A 19,591-nucleotide genomic window follows, 5' to 3' on the forward strand; every position below is an offset into this window, starting at 1 on the left:
TTTCAGATACAGTTGACTTTAAGGCAATAAAGAAATAAAGAGGAATTTTTCATAAAGATGAAAGGGTCGCTCTACCATAATGACATGACATTTCTGTATTTATTTGCAAAAATTTACACAAACTTAAATAGACAGGAATTCACATATCTTTTTCAATAACTTCAGATAAAGGATAACAAGCATATATAAGACTAAAAACATAATTTATAGATCTGTTCTAATTGACACAGAGAATGCTGCACCCAATAATAAAACATCAAGCCCAACAATGACAGAAAGCACATCCTTTTCAAGTTCACAGAGGATATTTACCAAATTGATAATATGATGGATCATAAAATATAGCTTAGAGTATTTCTCTGACCACAGTGAAAACTAAACTAAAATATTAGATACAGAGTAATGTTAGCAGCTACATTGAGATTTTGAAATCAAATTAACATAGCAGAGAAACTACAAATCTATATTTTATTATGAAACATTCCTTTTACCTGTTATACATAATTTATATTACAACTTCCAATTAAACTTCATAAAAATGAGATGTATTGCTTAAATCTCTGTCAGTTATTTCTGAATGCCTTAAATTAAATGTTTGACATAGAGATGTATCCCTTCATAGTCAGAGCTTAACATCATGAATTGTTTGTATACTAATTAGGATGTTCATAACAAAATGCCACAATTTTAGATCTGGGAGGAATTTGGAGGCCATATTACAAGTGGGAATATTAGGTCACCAAATAGAAAGAAAAGGGTGGTTATTTAAACCATTGGGGTTAAGTTTCAACTTTGCCCTCTGTCCTGTGGCAGAGTGTGAGATTGAAATGCTGAACTCCACTCTCCTGTATATAATGATTATAATAAATTGTTGTCTACTAACTGCAAAAGCATATAAAGAATTGGAACTAACATCCACAGAAGGCCTAATGACTGCTGTTAATAAGCTTGCCCCTGAATCTGTGAGTTGTTTAATCACAGTTAATGCTCCCAACAACCTTGTGACACAGTAGATATAAAAATAACATGTGTGTGAGAATACTGCATTAACTGTAAAAAAAAAATAGTGTCTAGTTATTATCTCATGCAAACAAAATTATGTTTGTATTCTCATCCACCATATGTTAGACAGTGTATTAGGGTTCTCTAGAGGGACAGAACTAATAGGATAGATATATATATAAAGGGGAGTTTATTAAGGAATATTGACTCACACGATTACAAGGTGAGGTCCCACAATAGGCCATCTGCAAGCTGAGGAGGAAAGATGCCAGTCTGAGTCCCAAAGATGAAGAGCTTGGAGTCCAGTGTTCCAGGACAGGAAACATCCAGCATGGGAGACAAGTGTAGGCTGGGAGGCTAAGTCAGCCTAGTCTTTCCACGTTCTTCTGCCTGCTTTTATTCTAGCCATGCTGGCAGCTGATTAGATTGTGCCCACCCAGATTGAGGGTGGATCGGCCTTTCCCAGTCCACTGACTCAAATGTTAATCTCCTTTGGCAACACCCTCATAGACACACCTAGGAACAATACTTTGCATCCTTCAATCCAATCAAGTCGACACTCAATATTAACCATCACAGATAGTTAACATGTTATCAGTATTACATTGATGAGACCCTATTTTAATTGATTTTTCTAGTACCGTAAAGACTCAAAGTTGTAGTATATTTCTTTTTTATAGTGGATTCTGATTTCCTACTAAATGACTCAAAATGTTTAAGTGCCTTAATAGATATTTTAAAAATTGCTTTAGGAAATTTTGACAATTCTTCTTGAGAATTGGGGTTCAGTTCTCATGTTTTTTCTTTTTAGCATTACTAAAAATAGTTGATTCTTGAATGTAAAATTTGATTGACTAACGTTATCACTAGACTTCCTTTTATCTACAGCTATCTGTTATCTTCAGGCGAACTAGTGAACCTCTCCAGTTTCTAATAATATATGAATAACAATTTATAACAGTGGTCCATAATTTTTTTTTGAATACTGAGACCATGGTATAGATAAAAATATTCATAACAGTTAAGATCTGTTGGAGTATAGATGAGTTAAAATCTGTAGAATATAAATCATATATAAAACAAAGTATTCAGACTATGTATATGTAAGGGAATAGCAAAAGCTCTGAGTCATGCTAGAAATAAGCTTTTATTATTCCTCTTGACTATAGTAAGTCTGGTTTCTCAAGTCAGAAATGAAAATGGACTAAAAAACAGGTGTGTGTTGGCATGACTTTGAGAAGAGGGCAATGAAATAAATCAGGCAGACATCACGCTTACTTCTTTCTTTTAGATTTCATTTCCTTCTATCTTGTAATGAAGGCTTTTGTTTTTTAAATGCATCCTGAGGCACTGGTTCTACCACCCCACAAACAGCTGAATTTTAAACAACTCCTTTAATATGAAGTTATTTTATTTTGAATTGGATTTTCCAGAGTCGTGTTTACTGCCTTGGATAAACAGGGCCTCAGACATGTAATAAATAGGTGAGTAAAATAAATGATTTTATTTATTTATGAGGAAAAGCACTTGAAAATGGCTAATTCTTGGTATATGCAAAGTGGGAGGGCTTGGAAGGAAAGGATATCTATTGAATTGAGGTATTACATTCTTGGTCCTGAGAACTCTTAAGGCAAACAAGCACAATGGGTGTTTTATATGTTTTCTAAAAGTCAGTTTTATTAAAAGTGTTTTTTGGCTGCCAATTTCCTATCCAGAATCCATCCATCTTGCTCTTCCTCATTCCTGACACCCTGTCTATGTAACCCATGTATGAGTCAGGAGAAGTTGATTCTGCCCTCAGTTCTAAGGGTGGTTCCTGAAATCAAAACCAACTGTGGTTCTCCCAGCCCTCAATTTTCCAAGAGTTGGTTCATTCAAGAACCTGGCCTTAGCCAAGCAGTTTGTAACCTTTCTCTGAAGCCTGATACTGGCTAAGGAAGTGGCTTTCCAAGTGTGTCCAGCAGCAGCAACATCGTCTGGGGACAGAAATGTGAATTCTTAGGATCTGGGACTTACTGGGTGAGAAACTTCAGGAGAGAGCCCCAGCAATCTGCATTTTAATAAGCCCTCCAGGTGATTCTGAGGCACAAATTTGAGAACTCCTGAATTAGATAATAGGAGCTCCTCAATTAGATAGGAGCTCCTGAATTAGATAGGCTCAATCTGATCCAAGGAGAGGATTTTTATCTCATGGATGTGAGAAAGGTTTCGTCTGTTCCTATTGATTTGAATCAGGAACTAAATTATCCCCACTGCTGCTGGCAGCCTTTCTGACAGCATCAGAGATTTTGGCCTGTTGATTGCAAAAGTCAAAATGTTTGTCGTCTTCACCTCAAATTAACAGATTGATACCAAATCCCCAATGTGTTGGTATTTGGAGGTGGGGCCTTTGGGAAGTGATTGGGTCACAAGGGTGGAGCCCTGTTCCGCAGGTGGTAAGTGCCACAATAAAGCAAAAAAAAAAAAAAAAGACAATGACATGTTTGGATTGCAATTTTAGATGAGATGGCCAGAAAATCTATCCTGAGAGGATGCCATGCAGTTAGACAGGACGGTGGAGATCAAAGCCGGGGAGGGAACATTTATGAAGTAGGTACCATTAGCCTCACCTCTAGCTATGCAAACTGAGACAGATAGAGGTGAAGCAGTTTGCCCAGGATTACAGGGGTAATAAATGATAGGATCGTGATTTGGACTGAGGACTGTCTAGAGCTCTGAAGTATGAGTATTTTTATTTACAGTATATTTTTTCTAGCAACATGTTAGAACATGTAAAAAGCAATCTTCTATTATTAGTAATAATGAGGGAAAACAGCAAAATTCATGAGCAGCTTTGTTAAATTTCTTTGGAACTCTTCCATTGCTTAAGACAGTCCTTCAAAGAGCAAAATATCTTAAAGAGGAAGAAATTTCCATCTTCTTACATGTTTAAATTAAACTGCTTGCAACATGGATCTACCTTTGTTTGGAGATGTGGGGGACCCTAAGTAGTAATGAATTTTCCTTTGCTTATTCTAGAGCTTGTTATTCAGCTTGTATGGGCAAGTTGGTAAAACACTGAGATACTTTGGATCCAGAAATAGCTGCTGCCTTAACCTCCACTAATGTCCTCTGGGCACAGCAGTGACCCTAGTTCTTCCATTAGGACCTTGCTTTGGTCCGGTACCTAAAGACTTTACCTGGCAGAGTAGGGGACTCCACACCCTATGCTGTTGCCAATGTCTATTCCAATTAGTTGGTGCCTTCACTGGACCAATTAAACATTGCATGTATCATCTCTATACTCTGTCATCCTTAGGCTCTATCACCAAAATCCCTTGGCAATGTAGCCAGTCAATGACAGACAAGGATGGTAGTGAAAGAGTTTTCTCTTGGCTGCAGTCAAGCCACCACCAAAGGGAATAATCTTGACAAGAATCCAGTTGATACAAACTGCAATTCTGCTCTCCTCTGCAACAGCCCAGAAGAAAGGGAGGAGATTTCTCTCTGAACTCAAAGCTCAGGTTTCTCAGACAAATGATCAAATAGTTGATTTGATTGCCCTGAATAATAGATATGTCCTTTAGTTAACAGATGTTCCCTACTGTTGCCTAATGTAAATTGTACATTTTCAATGTGTTTTCCTTTGTATCAAACATATATATGACAAACTTTCCATCCTCCCGGAGCTTACAAATCATTTTTTTAATGGAAAACTTGGGAAGACAGATTTTATTTCATACAATAACTTGCAGTGACTAGAAGGACAGCCCAAATATAGGAGAAAAAAGAATGCCTTGTAACAGAAAATTTTTATGTTTTCTGTCTATGGAACACTTACCTCTGAGAATCTGTCAGAAAATGAGGCCTTATCTTGCTTGACAACAATCATTATCTAGTCAGTAATTCCTTCTGAGGAATTTAAAACTTCTGCCTTTGCCCCTGAAATGACTGTATAATCTGTCAGAGCCATTATGTAAACTAACATTTATAAAGCAGAGGGTGTTATAACTACTTCCATCAAAAAGTTAATAATCTGTGACATTCCAAAATCACAACAAAAATGTTGTGTTGGTTCTCCTAGTAACAATAATAAAGAGTTCCTTTATGGTCTTGAGAATAAAAAAGCCCAACTCCTAAATAGTTTAAGTCCCTTGAATTCCATTTGATAGTCTTTTGCTGCAGTCCTGCTTTCATTAGATAGATCTGACTATATCTCTCAGAAGTTAAAGCTGGAAGATTCAAGTGCCTTATAAAGAGTATTGTAAGATTCTTATATAGGCAGAACTTTCTAACCCACTATTGTTATTGAGACTTTCTGTGACAGACATAAAAATTTTATTTCCATTTAAAAAACATTTTACTGATGTATCTGATTGTAATCTGCTGTTTATTCTCTTCTTTTCAAGAGCCTAGAGTATGTTCTGTGTGGCCAGGATCAAGGACAAAAGAAAATCATACATGATTAGAGGAGTGTAACTGTTTTATGGGTTGCAGTAGTTCTGAACTATATTGAGTCTTCCCAGCTGTTTTCTATCATAGCAATACCCTCTGTCCTTCACGTGAAAATCAAGGACTGCTCAAGTATAAATTTTTTTCTATACTGCCTTACTTTCTGTTTTAGGGCTTATTCAATATTTTTGGTTTATTCAATTTTGGTAGTTTCTTACAAATGACTTTAAAGTCAAAAAAGTGCAAGGAACTCATCCACATTTTTGCAAAACACTATAGAAGACCAGTGGCACTTAATTCATTCATCTTTATAAACATTATTGAAGTGTCCACCTAAGAGCCTTATTTTGTTAAAAAGCCAATTTCACCCTTGTGAACACTAACCTCTGAGCCTCTAAAACTCTCCTTGATTTAGGTCCATAATTTACTATTAACTCCTTTAAGCCTTCAGATACTATTCACTAAGACTCTGCTTTAGTCCATGATGTCAACTACCACCCTGATAATAATACCCTCTAGAATTTGTGCACTACTGTTTGCCTAAGTGGTTCAAAAGGAGGGAAAAACTGGGAGACTGGTATTCCTGTGCCATCTCTCTTTCCCAACAACCCCTGAGAGGCAGAATAATGACTCCCTTAATCCCTGGAAATCTGTGACTATGTTAGGTTGTACAGCAAAGGAAATTGCAGATGGAATTAATAATGCTAATCAGCTGCCCTTGAGATTAGTCTGCATTGTGCAGGTGTCCAATGCAGTCATAAAGGTCCTTACAATGTGGGAGAGAGAGAAGAGACAGACAGCTCCATGAGAAAGTCTGAATTGGCTGTTGCTGGTTTTGAAGACAGAGGAAGGCCAGGAGCCTAGGAATGTGAGAAGCTGGACATGTCAAGGAAATGGATTCCTCTCTGCTCTTGAGCCGCCAAGAGAAATGAAGCTCTGCCTACATCTTCATCTCCACACCCAATGAGACCTATTCAAACTTCTGACCTCTGGAATTGTAACACAGTCAATTCATATTGTTTCAAGCCACTAAGTTTTTGAAACCCTAAAAGGGAGATTTAACTGAGTAACAAAGTATTATGCTAGCAGGAATAATTATATCCATGTGAAAAACAGGGAGGTGGAAGTACACAGAGTGAAACAAAAACAGAAACTTCTTATGAAGGAGCTTTGTAACTTAAAACACATTAGTATCTGTTTCCAACAAGGTATTTTTCCTATCAACATTTAGAATATTTTTTCCATCTTTTTATACAGCTCGAACAAGTTTATTTCCATTTAAAAATCTTGCATCACCCTTTTAATTGAGAGAATGTGATTGCTGGAACAATTCAATGGAATAATTAAAGCAATTTTAATACATCAACATTTGCTATTTGGCAAAGGAATCAAGTAGAAAGTAAAATAATTCATGTGGCTTGTCTTTCATAAGTGTGGGTTGCTTCTATCTGAAATCAACAAGTGATTATGAACTGGTGACTCTATCCCCTGCATCTCTTACTGGCATGTCATTCTCATGCTCACCAAACAAAATGGGCACAGGTGTTTTAGAAAGCAAGCACCTAGAAATAAAATGAAGGCTTTACTGAGGGCTTCAGTATACTTTCTGAAGCCTTCACCTAGGGATGACCACAGCCCTTCATGGTTTCATTCTTGTCCTGGGGCTCTAATGTGCTCTCTAGAAATCCATTACAGCAGAGTTTTCATTTAACTCATGTAAGGTAAGGATAGTGGCACCACGTAAGAAGTCTCATGTTTGTTAACGGTGTGTGATGGTGCTTGTTGATGGTCTAGTGTTAGACCCTGCTTAGCCAGGACAGCAGTGGGCTCCGTTTGAGGGAATTTGGTCACCCCTCCTTAGCTCAGGCTTTGATGTGATGATTTATAGGACAGTGCATGGTGAGAGGGTCTGGGAATGGGATTCCAACAATGTGTTTGGATGCCCTTCCTCCCAGAAGGCTGTATCTAATACTAGGCACAAGCTCCCTAAACCCAAGTCCTAAGGCAGTTTTAAGCTAAAGGACAGAAAAACATCATTCCTGAGATACAGACGGGCAGTTCTTCCAGACCAGTGTAATTTAGCCTAAGTCCTTACAGTTATCCTCCACTGTCACTGGTGAAAACTTGCTCTTCCTTTCCAGGAACTTACACAAAATACTGTAAGTGCAAAACAAGATTAAAAATAGAGTAATCGTTGTTGAACACTAGGGGTTCAGCCTAGATTCTAGTTGTTTGCCTCACAGAAAGCCCATTGACACAATGAGTATTGTCAGGGAAGGCAGACTTTATTGCAGGTAACAACAACAGCCAAGAGACAGGAGATGGAAGACAAGCCTCACATCCATCTCTCCAACTGACTAAAGTTAGGGGTTTATAGAGGAGCTTGTCAACACGCAGCAGGCAGTCAGATCAGGGGTCTGATGCCTCATTGTCCAGATGTGGTGATCTGGAAAGTTCAGTTCCTTGATACTATCTGAGAGGAAATTAGGCCACTTTCGTAAGGACACTAAAAGAAACCACAAATGATAATAATGATAGCTAATATTTATAGAGCAGCTACTCTGTGCCAGGCTCTGGGTATTTTCATTGTCATTTTACCAATGAGGGGAATGAAACTCAGAAGTCATCTAACTTACCCACAAGCCAGGCGCGGTGGCTCATGCCTGTAATCCCAGCACTTTGGGAGGCCAAGGTGGGCGGACCACCTGAGGTCAGGAGTTTGAGACCAGCCTGGCCAACATGGTGAAACCCCATCTCTACCAAAATACAAAGATTAGCTGGGCGTGGTGGCGTACACCTGTAATCCCAGCTACTGCAGAGGTTGAGGCGTGAGAATTACTTGAACCCAGGAGGTGGAGGTTCCAGTGAGCTGAGATCGCACTACTGGGCTCCAGCCTGGGCGATAGAGGAAGATCTTGTCTCAAAAAAAAAAAAAAAAAAAAAGTCATCTGACTTGCCCACAGTCACACAGCTGGCAAGAGGGTGGGGGTAGCGCCCAGTCCCTCTGACCCTGCAGTCTTCACTATTGCACTTACCACCTTCTCTAAAGATAGTGATGGCTTGTGCCTCAGGGTATGCTCATTTGTTTTTCAGGCATGAACAGTGCATTCGCAATGGTTGTAAATTCCCTATACTAGTTTACGCCACTCATATTCAACAGAAAGCATACTTTTAACTACCAATGGCTGTGTACTGACAAGGTTCTTTGCTTAACAAAATTTCAGACTCCTAAGCCTTCTCCTAATATCAGCTGTACACTTCCTTGTAAAATCCAGTTTTAGTAAGAACCCTGCTAAGTCAGTTTATCAAGAATCCTTCATCCTTCATCTCACCTTCATTATCCAGTTTCTCATCCTCTACCTTTCCCCAGGTGACAGCTGATCACCCTGGCCTGTCTTCAGTAGGAGTTCTGTCAGATTGGTTTAGCCAGAATCCCCCTTACTCCTGATATTTTCTGCTAGTAACTTTCTATCTGCTGATAGTCCCATCTCCAATCTGTGGCTACAAATTCCCACTTGCCCATGCCGTATTCAGAGTGGAGCCCCGTGTCTCCGCCACCAAGTGCAAAATCCCAGAGCAGTGGTCCCTGTATCTACTGCAATGGTTCTGAACCACTTTACTGTGCTTTCATAAGCATCATTATCCCTGAATATTTTTTTTTCTTTTAACAACATTCAGGATCACAAGCTTTTACAGGCCAGTTGCCTTGATGTAGACTTGACTAGCTTCTGTTTCTGCATTCAGAATGCCAGATAACTCATGCAGTTACCCTAATATGCCATAATACAACATGGAGAACACATACAATAAATATTTTATACCCCAGCAATTCCATGGCACTGGTATTATTTCTACTTTTTTTTTTTTTTTTTTTTTTTTTAGGCAGGGTCACACTCTGTCATCCAGACTGGAGTGCAGTGGTGTGATCTTGACTCACTTCAGCCTTGAGCTCTAATTCTTGGGCTCCAGCGGTCCTCCTGCCTCAGCCTCCTGAGTAGCTAGAACTACAGGAATATGCCACCATGGCTGACTAATTTTTAAAAAAAAATTTAGTAGAGATGGCGTCTTGCTATGTTGCCCAGGTTGGTCTTGAACTCCTGGCCTCAAGCAATCCTCTCCCCTTGGCCTCCCAAAGTGCTGGGACTACAGTTGCTCACTTTACCCTAATTTATACCAAACAGAAATTGACATGTCTGGAGGTTCAGAATCCTAAGTTGTAAAGAAATGGATTCATCTTTACATGAACTTAGTGGAAGTAGAATTTAATTCTCTGTAAGATTAGTTTCCCTTTTGCTATTTTATTTCTTCATTCACTTCCATCTAGTTTCTGGACGTACATGGTCAAGTGATGTTACTTTAGGTAATATTTCTAGAACTTTCCCTAATTTTAAAATTAAGAAAGAAAAAAGTTTTCCCTTCACTTTATGATATGCCCTTCAAGGCTGAAGACTCAGAAATGTGCTCCAGAGAATTTGTACCTCCTCTTTCACCCAGTTCAGCCCCTTTGTCCCCTCCCCCTGCTTCACTGTTGAATTCCTTTAATCTTCTTTACCTTAAAGGTCCATAAAAATCCCAACCGCCTTCACTAGAAAAATTTGGTGCTGTATGAGAACCTAAGTTTCTCTAATAAAAATCAGCAACATTTTTTTCAAATCCAGCTTTCCCGAAATTGTAGATCAAGCCCAGTAGTGTGATTCACAGATAACGGCTGAAGCCACTTCATCTCCAAGCTAAGGGATAAAATTAGCATGTTAAAGAGTTGGAGGGCTTAATTAGAAAGGCAATCCTTAGGCAAAAACCTCTCAGGAACACTAAAGCAGTTTGTTAATTTTGTTTGCTATCTCTTTGGGGGCAGAACCTGGAACCAGAAATTAACTCTGACTTTGAAAACCACAATAAAATTATATCATCCTCAGGCCCAACGTTAAAGGAAGTGTGCTCATAATAAATGGATAATCTTCTACTTTCCATGACTATTGATTTTAATCATCCCAACATTCCGTGAGAAGCAGTCTGTTTCTATGTGCTTTCCTCCTGTTTTCTCCCATTGTGTTGAGTATGGGGTTTGGACTCTCCAGTTCAACCATCCTGGATGGAGAGGCTGCTTCATTTTGGGAATAGCTTATCCCTACCCACTGTGTCACTTACTAGATCAGAGGCAAAGAGGCTCATTCTTCTGAATGTTTTTGTTTCTTCTGGCATTCACCTCCATATTTTTAAATAACAAGCCTTAAAATACCATTATATCTGGATTTTTCCAATTATATCACTTTCTACTGCCTTCCTACTATAGTGTAGGGTTTAGATCTCTTACCTTATTCCTGCATACATATTGCCTCTCTCCACATCACACCACTATTGAGGCAGGAGAAAAGGTCTGGAGGCAGGGAAGCTAAGGCCGATTCGCACTGGCTTCCTAGAACGAAATCAAAAGGAAAACCCCTACTTTCCACACCCAAGTAACACAAGGATCAGAAGCTACTCCCTTTTCAACCCCCTCCCCCATTTTTTTTGCATGGCAGATGAGAAATTGAAAGTATCTCTCATTTGTCCCCTCCCTCAGTCAGTCAGGCTGCTCCTGGGCCAAGTCTTCATTTGCATAGGAGTATAACTGTATAACTTGACTTTAGCTTCTGATTGGTCACCTTCCACAACCAATCAGATGTTTGCATAGGGTATAACTTTGTACCTTTGCTTCAGCCTCTGACTGATCCCCTCCTGCAACCAATCAGACTGATTGTGGACCACTACTTTATTTACATAGAGTGTAAAGCAAGTGACCAATCAGAAACCTCTAGAGGGTTTTTAAACCCCAGAAAATCTGTAATCAGGCTCCTTAAGCCCCTATGCTTGGCCCACTCCCACCTGGTGGTGTGTACTTTCATTTTTGATAAATCTCTACTTTTGTTGCTTCATTCTTTCCTTGCTTTGTTTGTGCTTTTTGTCCAATTCTTTGTTCAAGTTGCCAAGAACCTGGACAGCCTCCACTGGTAACACTATAATTATGACAGTTTTTGCTTAAATTAATAATTGATGTTTACATTTTTACAATTATATAAATATTCACAGTTCAATGCAGTAGTGTTCTGTGTAAATACTTTGTGCTTTTCTTTTTGCTTTCCTTACTTATTGAATAAATAAATACTTGAGCACCAGCCTCTAGTGTAGCCACTCTTCTGGGTACTGGATATATAAGAGAAAAGATAAAAAAAAATCCTGCCCTAAGGGGTTTACATTTTATTGGGGTGGCAGCAGAACAAGTGTCTAAGAACAGATAATCTGAAACCATGTTTGAGTTAAAACACTGGTTTTTGCAAAGTTAGCAACTCACTGACCTTAGGAATTTGCCCAGCCTCTCCATGCCTCAGTTTCTTCATCTGTAAGTTGGGCGTAAAATCTATTTACAGAGTTGTAACAAAGATTAAGTGAATCAATATAAGTCTAGGCAGGTCAAAGATACAGATAGCAATTTTCAAAGTGTATACTAGGATACTATCGGGAAGTAAACTTAACTATACAGGCAACAGGAAAGGCAAATTTAGAGACTGTGATTTTTAAATAACATATTGAGAAAATAATATTTTTTCCTATCTGATTCACTTATTGTCTAGCATTTGTGTATCTTTTAAGATATTAATTTTGAAGGAAGTTTATTCAACTTCTTGCATTTTCATTGTTTCCCATTAATTCATTTGTCATCTTACTTTGAGTTTCTATCTTTAATGATAATGACTTTCTTTTCATGTCTGGTAATACATTTATTCATATATAAAAATTGGACACTAAAATTGATCAAAAATCTCTGTTTACATGGGTTTTTGATTGTTCATATGTTGATATTTCTGTTGTAGACTCTTTAATGTCACTGTTCATAAGCCTTTTTTGTGAGGGGTGGAGGTTGTGTATTTCCCCAGAGAGAAAGACTCCCATTTCCTCTGTTTGGGGAGGGATGTACCTCAGTTCAGAGCGTTTGTGGTTCAACCTGTCTGGATAGAAAACACCCAGCCTTCTGCTCAAACAGGAGAGGGGTGGTCACTCAACTCATGGCAAAAGCTAGAAGTCCCTGATGTCTGTCTCAGAGGACTTGCTAGTTAATAAACTTCTGCCCTATACTGCTAGGGTCAATTTACAATTGGGAAATAATTAATTTTGTGACTATCCAAGGGTAGAATGCTATCTAATTTCTTAGAATGTTTCCATTATTTTGGCCAATCAGACTGAGCGTTTTCTGAAAATACGCTATAGTTCATCCAACTTTCTATTGCTTTGTCTTATCATATACAGTGTATGGTGTTGATGCTAAGAGGCATTACTATAAAGCTGAATAAAATAAGCCCTCTCTCTTCTCAGCAATCATAGTGTTGTTAAATTTATTAGTTTGGGCTCTGGCATATTCCTCAAAGTAGAGTTAGGAATTGTAGAGATGAAAGTCAGTTTATCAAGACAGGATCCTATGTTTTCCCAACACCCTCTCCCACATGGGCCACTTCCTCTCCCTAAGCTCCCATGACTTCAATTTTGCTCCCACTGGCATAGGCATTTGGTGGGGATCTGGAGGCCATTTAAACCCTAAAGTTCTGTCCACAAATGATACCCCAGAATCAAACCTTTTCTGCTTATTCTTCTTGCGCAAAGTGCACGCCAACAATATCCATGTTTTTCCTATTTTTTTTCCATTAAGTGCAATGCAACCTTTCTTCATTGTAAAGAATCACTAGAATCCAGCTCTCAGGCTCCCTCTGCATTTTTTCGTACGACTCAAGAACAATTACGTTCTTGCTAATAAGATATATCTCTTTAAACTCCCTAGAGAAAAATGACAATATACATTTAAATTATAAACTTGGACAATATAATAGACTTTCTACTGTTAGTATTATACAGTTATAATCTAACTTTAACAGCAGTTAAGCAGAGACATTTTACGAATTGCATGATATTTGAGTGTTGGGTGTGAATGAGTTGGATTCTTGACCTTTTGCTGGTGGGAACTTTCTTATCTCTTTTTGTTTTCCCAGGACTAATCTGTGCAGTGTAGCAGCACTTCCTTTGTACCAAAGTAGTTATCTTCCTGCGGTATCTCCGATCAATTCTATAATCTGTAGGCATCATGTGCCACTGTGTCACAGGGTGACAAAAGCCCTCAGAGCACAGGAGGACCAGACTATTGTCGTCACTGAACCCACCAGGTTAAAAAGGGGAAGATGGGAGGCAAAAATAACACTAAATAACTGGTTATAAAAACACCTTAAAATTGTTTTTACAGTTGAGTGATTGTACTACTTATTTGATGCATCTGAAATTGTTGATTAAACACAGAGATGCACATAAACTGAGACGATAGAAATTAGAGAAGTTTAATTACAGTAAATTAAGAAAAAACACTGAAGCAGAGACAACAGATGGTCAAAGAAGAAAGTGATAATTCAAAACTATCAGGAACATTAGAGGAAAACTAAGAAGTGAAGCAAGTTCGCACAGACACAAAACAATTTCTTCTATTTCTTTCACTGTTGTATTTTTTCTTGCCATCCTTAAGATTTGTCAGGAATGTCTTTGTGTCTCCACCTTTGTTTTTCTTTGGGGTGTGTGTGTGGTTCTTTTCTGTAATCCTCCCTTATTTTCTTTCATGATTTGATCCTAGTTGGATAATACGCCCCGATTTAAGAATATTTTATTTTAAGTGTTTCTCAGTTATTCTCATAGGATTTCAAGAATTTCAAATATTAATAGCATTGCTAATTAATAGTTTAAAATCATTTCTCAAATATAACATTTAGCATTTTTATGACAAAATTAGCATGTATTCATTCAACAAATAAATTATAATAGTTTGATGGCAAATATCAGTATGTACCAGCTATTGGGCTGCAGAATATGTTTTCATGCTGTATACAAAATTAAGTTGTTTTAGGTTTATTGAAAAATATTTTATGGGGTAGTATTTATAGATTTTTTATGAGGACTATAATCCCGAATATAATTTTATTTCATCCACATTTTTTCTTTGTTCATAAGAGATCATTTATTTTTACAGGAAATGTGACAATTAGAACCTATTGCTGAACCTAAAAAAATGACAATTTTCTTTTACGATGAATATTAATAGCATAAACGAGTTTACACTTGACCTCAAAGCAATTCTGTTTTATGGAAGTTGGACTTAGGAAACTTGAAAGGCTTCTTACTCTGCTGTTTAACACATGGAAATGATAATCATGTTAGCTACACCCTAGTAATTTTAGCTGAAAATATTCCCACCCTATTCTGGAGATAAAATAAATTTGATTTAACATCGGGTTCAACCATTCTTTCACAGTTGTGCTTTATTATTAGTGACAGAACTTTATCCTTAAAAAGCTTCAGGGGTCTTCTATCAGCAGAACAATTTATAACTAGCTATTTAGGGAAATAATGCTGCTTTTGTGTACTATTTTTTATAGTTTGCTTTACTCACCATTTGTTTGCAAAAATACAACTTCTACAATTGGGTTATATTTCTTATGATAGAAAGTATGTTTCAAGTGATCAGCATATGATATAAAAAGATGAAACCTCATTGATTTTTTTTTTTCAAAACCTTTGGATGCTTCACTTAGTATAATTATGACTCAGGGTGGTGGTAAAAATTGGGATAAAAGGATAAGTTTGTAAGAAACTAGCTTTTTTATATTTAACAAAAGCTGGCTTTGATAATAGCATATTTGCAGTTCATAAAAGATCAAACTTTTAAGGAACAAAAAGCAAATAACAATAAAACCTTCTTAAGTCAACAAAATGTTTTGTAAAGGGCATTTCATTTTCAGCTTGGCCTTACCGCTGAGAAGCATTTTGCATGAAATTTGTGCATGAATTCTCATTCCAAGAATATAAGAGGAAATAAATGAGCAAAACAGAAATGTATTAGTGAAGCAATTTATGGCATGTTGAAAAAATAAGCATCTAGTATACACGCATGTTGAAACTTGATCAAACCCTGTTTTAACAACACTATAAAAACTGTTTTCTTATTTGAAACAAAACACAATGCATAAATGAAAGATTATGGTGACTTAGAATTATTGTTTAAAGAAAAACCTGAACTCTAAAAGAACTTTCTGCACTATTAAAGAAAAGCTAATACAAAAGTAAACTGAATGTACTAGTCAGGCCATCAGAATAGCAATAACATTGGTAATGTTATTGTTGAACCAACCTCTCTCTTCTCCTTAGAACAACGGAGAATAATAAATGAAGCCTTAGGTAATTCTATTGTGGCGGAACAGGAAGTTTTCTTGTCAATTCTTCAAAGTTGTATCAAAACTAGATAAGATTTAAAGCTTCAGGAAACTTTTGGATTTGTAACTCTCAACTGTATTCTGTAGTTAGTAATTGTACAAACGAGAATTAACACAGCAGGCCTGAGACTGCTGTCCTCAGAAACAGGCCTGCCTGCAAGGCTGGCCCTTGCCTGTCTTCTGTTAACGGATTTCAATAGGGTCCACCATTCCCAAAGCTGATAAGAGTGGCTCACTCACCAAAACTACTTGTACAAACATTGTGGTTTATGCTGAACATCTGCTTTTTTGTTTTTCATTTTCAGATAGTCTGGAATTTGGGTATGTACTAGGCAGAGGGTGTCTAAATGACAGTTCCACAACCACAACCTTGACTCATAGGCTTAGGCAAGCTTCCCTTGTAGATAATATTTCACACATGTTGTCCAAATTCGAGTGCTGGAGGAATTAGCACATCCTTTGTGGCTCTCCCAGAAGAGGACTCTTAGAAGCTTGTGCCTGGTTTCTTACAGACTTTGCCTCATGTACCTTTTCTCTTTACTGATTTTTACTTTTTAGGTTTGTTGCAGTAATATATCATCACTATGAGTACAGCTGTATACTGAGTCCTATAGTCCTAGCAAATCACCAAGCCTGGAGGCAGTCTTGGGACCCATGGCACAGCACTATCCTTAGAAGCTAGTTTTGTCAGTTTCACTTTCCATCTTCTATACCTTTGCTGACATGGTTTCCTAGCCCCATACCACCTGTTGCCCCATAGCCTATTGAGTAACTTTTCAGTGCTTGGCCAGGATGAAACCTTGCTCAAGATGATCCCTGATTTCCTTATTGTTCCTGGCTGGAAATGGCTCTGGAATATCTTGACTTTGATTATCTGAATTATTCAGTTTGATTAATTTATGGCATTAATCGACCTTATATTATAGTTGTGTATGCACATCACCTCTTCTATTTCATTTTAAGCTATTTGAATGTGTAGAATTGTTTTATTGTTTTTGTGCCACCCAGAGCTGCTTGGTTTCTGAATGGCTTATGCCTTTGAGTTCAGTGAAAGTGCATATACCACATTAAGTGGTTTTTGATAAGAATGCCATTAAAATAGATGTGACTTTGTAATTTCCGTCTGACCTCAGGAGCTATACAAAAACTTAGAATATCTGAGGGGAAGTGTTGAAAATATAGCAGTTGAATTTTAAGCAATTTAGTCTTTTATAAATGATTAATGCAGTCCAATAATTGTGATTAATTGACCTGAAATAACATACATGAGCTTTTGCCAGCTTTCTGGATACATATAAAAGGGAGCAAAGCTTACTCCAGAGAATCGAATTATTTTTCAAATATATATGCATGAATTTGTACATGCATCATAATATGAACTCAAGTTAGAGTTCTAAAGCCAATCTTAAATTCTTCCAAAAAAAAAATGCCCTTTATAAACTTTTTCAAAGGCCCAGTTTTATGTCTTTTTTTTCTTTATTTCTTTGAAAATTCCTCCACTCTAACTGGTAACTATGAGGCATTAGCTGAACGTCAAGATCCTGAATAAAATTCCAAAAATAAAGAAAACATGGAGAACCATCAGTTCCTGATATGGTTTGGCTCTGTGTCCCCACCTAAATCTTATCTTGAATTCTAAACCCCACTTGTCAGAGGAGAGGCCTAGTGGGAGGTGATTGGATCATGGAGGTGGATTTCCCCTTGCTGTTATCAGGAAAATGAGTTCTCACAAGATCTGATGGCTTAAGAGTGTGGCACTTCCCCTCTTGCTCTCTCTCTCCTGCCACAAAGTAATATGTGCCTTGCTTCCCCTTTGCCTTCCACCATGATTGTAAGTTTCATGAGTCCACCCCAGCCATGCAGAACTGTGAGTCAATTAAATCACTTTTCTTTATACATTACCCAGTCTCGGGGAGTTTATAGCAGTGTGAAAACACACTAATACATTCCAGTTCATTTTTATTTAAACTTTGACAGAATTGTCAAGGGAGTATATAAGAGAACAACAATCGTGTGTCTGGATATATATCCTTTCTCCATGTTAACATTTTCAGAGATTCTTCTTTATATGGTTATTTGCTCAATTAGTTATACACCTACAACTTTAATACTACAACTTTTGAGTAATTATGGCAGACTAGTCAGACATAATTTATCTTCTTCTAACTCCTGAAAAGCACACAAAAATGGTACACAGTTGACCAAGAAGTAAAATGAAAAACACAATGGGAACAGAGCATATGAGAGACTCAGAGTAGTGACTGAGAAACAAGCAGAACTTTTTTTTTTCTTTTTTTCTTTTTTTTTTTGAGGTGGAGTTTCACTCACTGATCTCGGTCACTGCCACCTCTGCCTCCTGGGTTCAAGCGATTCTCCTTCCCCAGTCTCCCGAGCAGCTGGGATTACAGGCGCTGGCCATCACACCCAGCTGATTTTTTGCATTTTTAGTAGAGATGGGTTTTCACTATGTTGGCCAGGCTGGTCTCAAACTTGTGATCTCAGGCGATCCATCTGCCTCAGCCTCCCAAAGTCCTGCGATTGCAGGCGTGAGCCACCGTACCTGGCTGCAACAAGCAGAACTTTAATAGAAGTAACCCGTATGCTCAACTAGAAGACCCCAGAAAGTCCCTGAACTGGGGCCAGTTACCTTGGAAACCTACAAGCAATAGAAACTGTTGAAAGTCAGTACACTGAGACATTAAAATCCAGGTCTCCTCCTCAGCCTTGAGTAAACAGGCAAATACTTTCCTTGTCTTCCTTCTGCCCCTTTCTGAAACAGAGGAGGAATCTTGTGTCTGTGTGAAAACATTGAATAGTAAAGTCTCTGGACACGGAAATACCAAAGTGGAGGGTGAAAGTAAATCTACCACTTGGTAGAGTGATTTAATGTCTACAGATTGAACATTGCTTTCCAGGCCCCTTTCTTTGCTTTGCTTACCAGTGACCTGCAGCCAGCCATTGAAAAACGCAAACAAAAAAACAGCCACCCAATGTGGCCATAGGATTAGGTGAATATTCCCCAGATAATCTAGAGGGCCCCAAAGAATAGTTCTCCAGAAAGTGACATGGTATTTCGCAGAAGGAAACATTGCCTAACTCAGTGTCCCCTTCAGTAAAGCTGTCAGTCTACAAGTTCCTGTCTCGTCAAGGGTGTGTCATTATCTATTATGGTCTCCTTTCTTAAATGTAAACAGAGCCAAAGATCACCAGGAATCTGAGGAAAGCTATCATGTGAAAGACAGTTATCAAAAGAGACAGAAAAACGAAACTTGGTAATAACCAATATAATAAAGTAGAAGAAAATGCCAAAGCAAAAATGAAAACAAATACTAGAGGTAATATAGTTCACCCTTGAACTATATTGGTGCCCCCAACCCCAACACAGTAAAAAAAATTCATGTATAACTTAATTTTTTTCTTAATTTTTAATGCTTGTGGCTAATAATTGTATATACTTATGAGGGGCATGTGATGTTTTCACACAGTGGTACAATAGGTAATAAATAAGGTATAATTTTTGACTTCCACAGAACTTAACTACTGATAGCCTACTGTTGAGCAGAAGCCTTACCAATACCATAAATTTGATTAACACATTTTGTGTGTCATATGTATTATGTATTGTATACTTCCAATAAACTAAGCTAGAGAAAATATATTATTTAAAAGTCATAAGAGAAAAATGTATTTACTTTTCATAAAGTGGATCGTCATAAAGATCTTCATCCTTGTCTTCACGTTGAGTAGGCTGAGGAGGAGGAGGAAGAAGATGGATTGGTCTTCCTGTTTTAGGAGTGGCAGAGGCATAAGAGATGGAGAAGATGGAAGGCGAAGAAGGAGAGGCAGGCACACTTGGTGTAACTTTTGTTGAAAAAAAAATC

General features: G+C 37.7%; 1 protein-coding gene across 2 annotated transcripts in view, besides 1 other annotated feature; it reads left to right on the forward strand.

Annotated features, from left to right (window-relative positions):
- GPC5 (glypican 5) overlaps positions 1-19,591 on the forward strand; it is a 1,468,617-nt gene that overhangs the window by 810,003 nt on the left and 639,023 nt on the right. The window lies entirely within an intron of this gene.
- Positions 10,089-10,590: an enhancer, noted in NCBI's record as "NANOG hESC enhancer chr13:92870965-92871466 (GRCh37/hg19 assembly coordinates)". NCBI's record gives its function as "activates a minimal SCP1, AML or CMV promoter by ChIP-STARR-seq in naive and primed H9 embryonic stem cells {active_cell/tissue: H9 hESC(naive and primed)}" and the evidence as "EXISTENCE:reporter gene assay evidence [ECO:0000049][PMID:30033119]".

Source organism: Homo sapiens, chromosome 13 (assembly GCF_000001405.40).
Source record: "Homo sapiens chromosome 13, GRCh38.p14 Primary Assembly".
NCBI classification, from domain to species: Eukaryota; Metazoa; Chordata; class Mammalia; order Primates; family Hominidae; genus Homo; species Homo sapiens.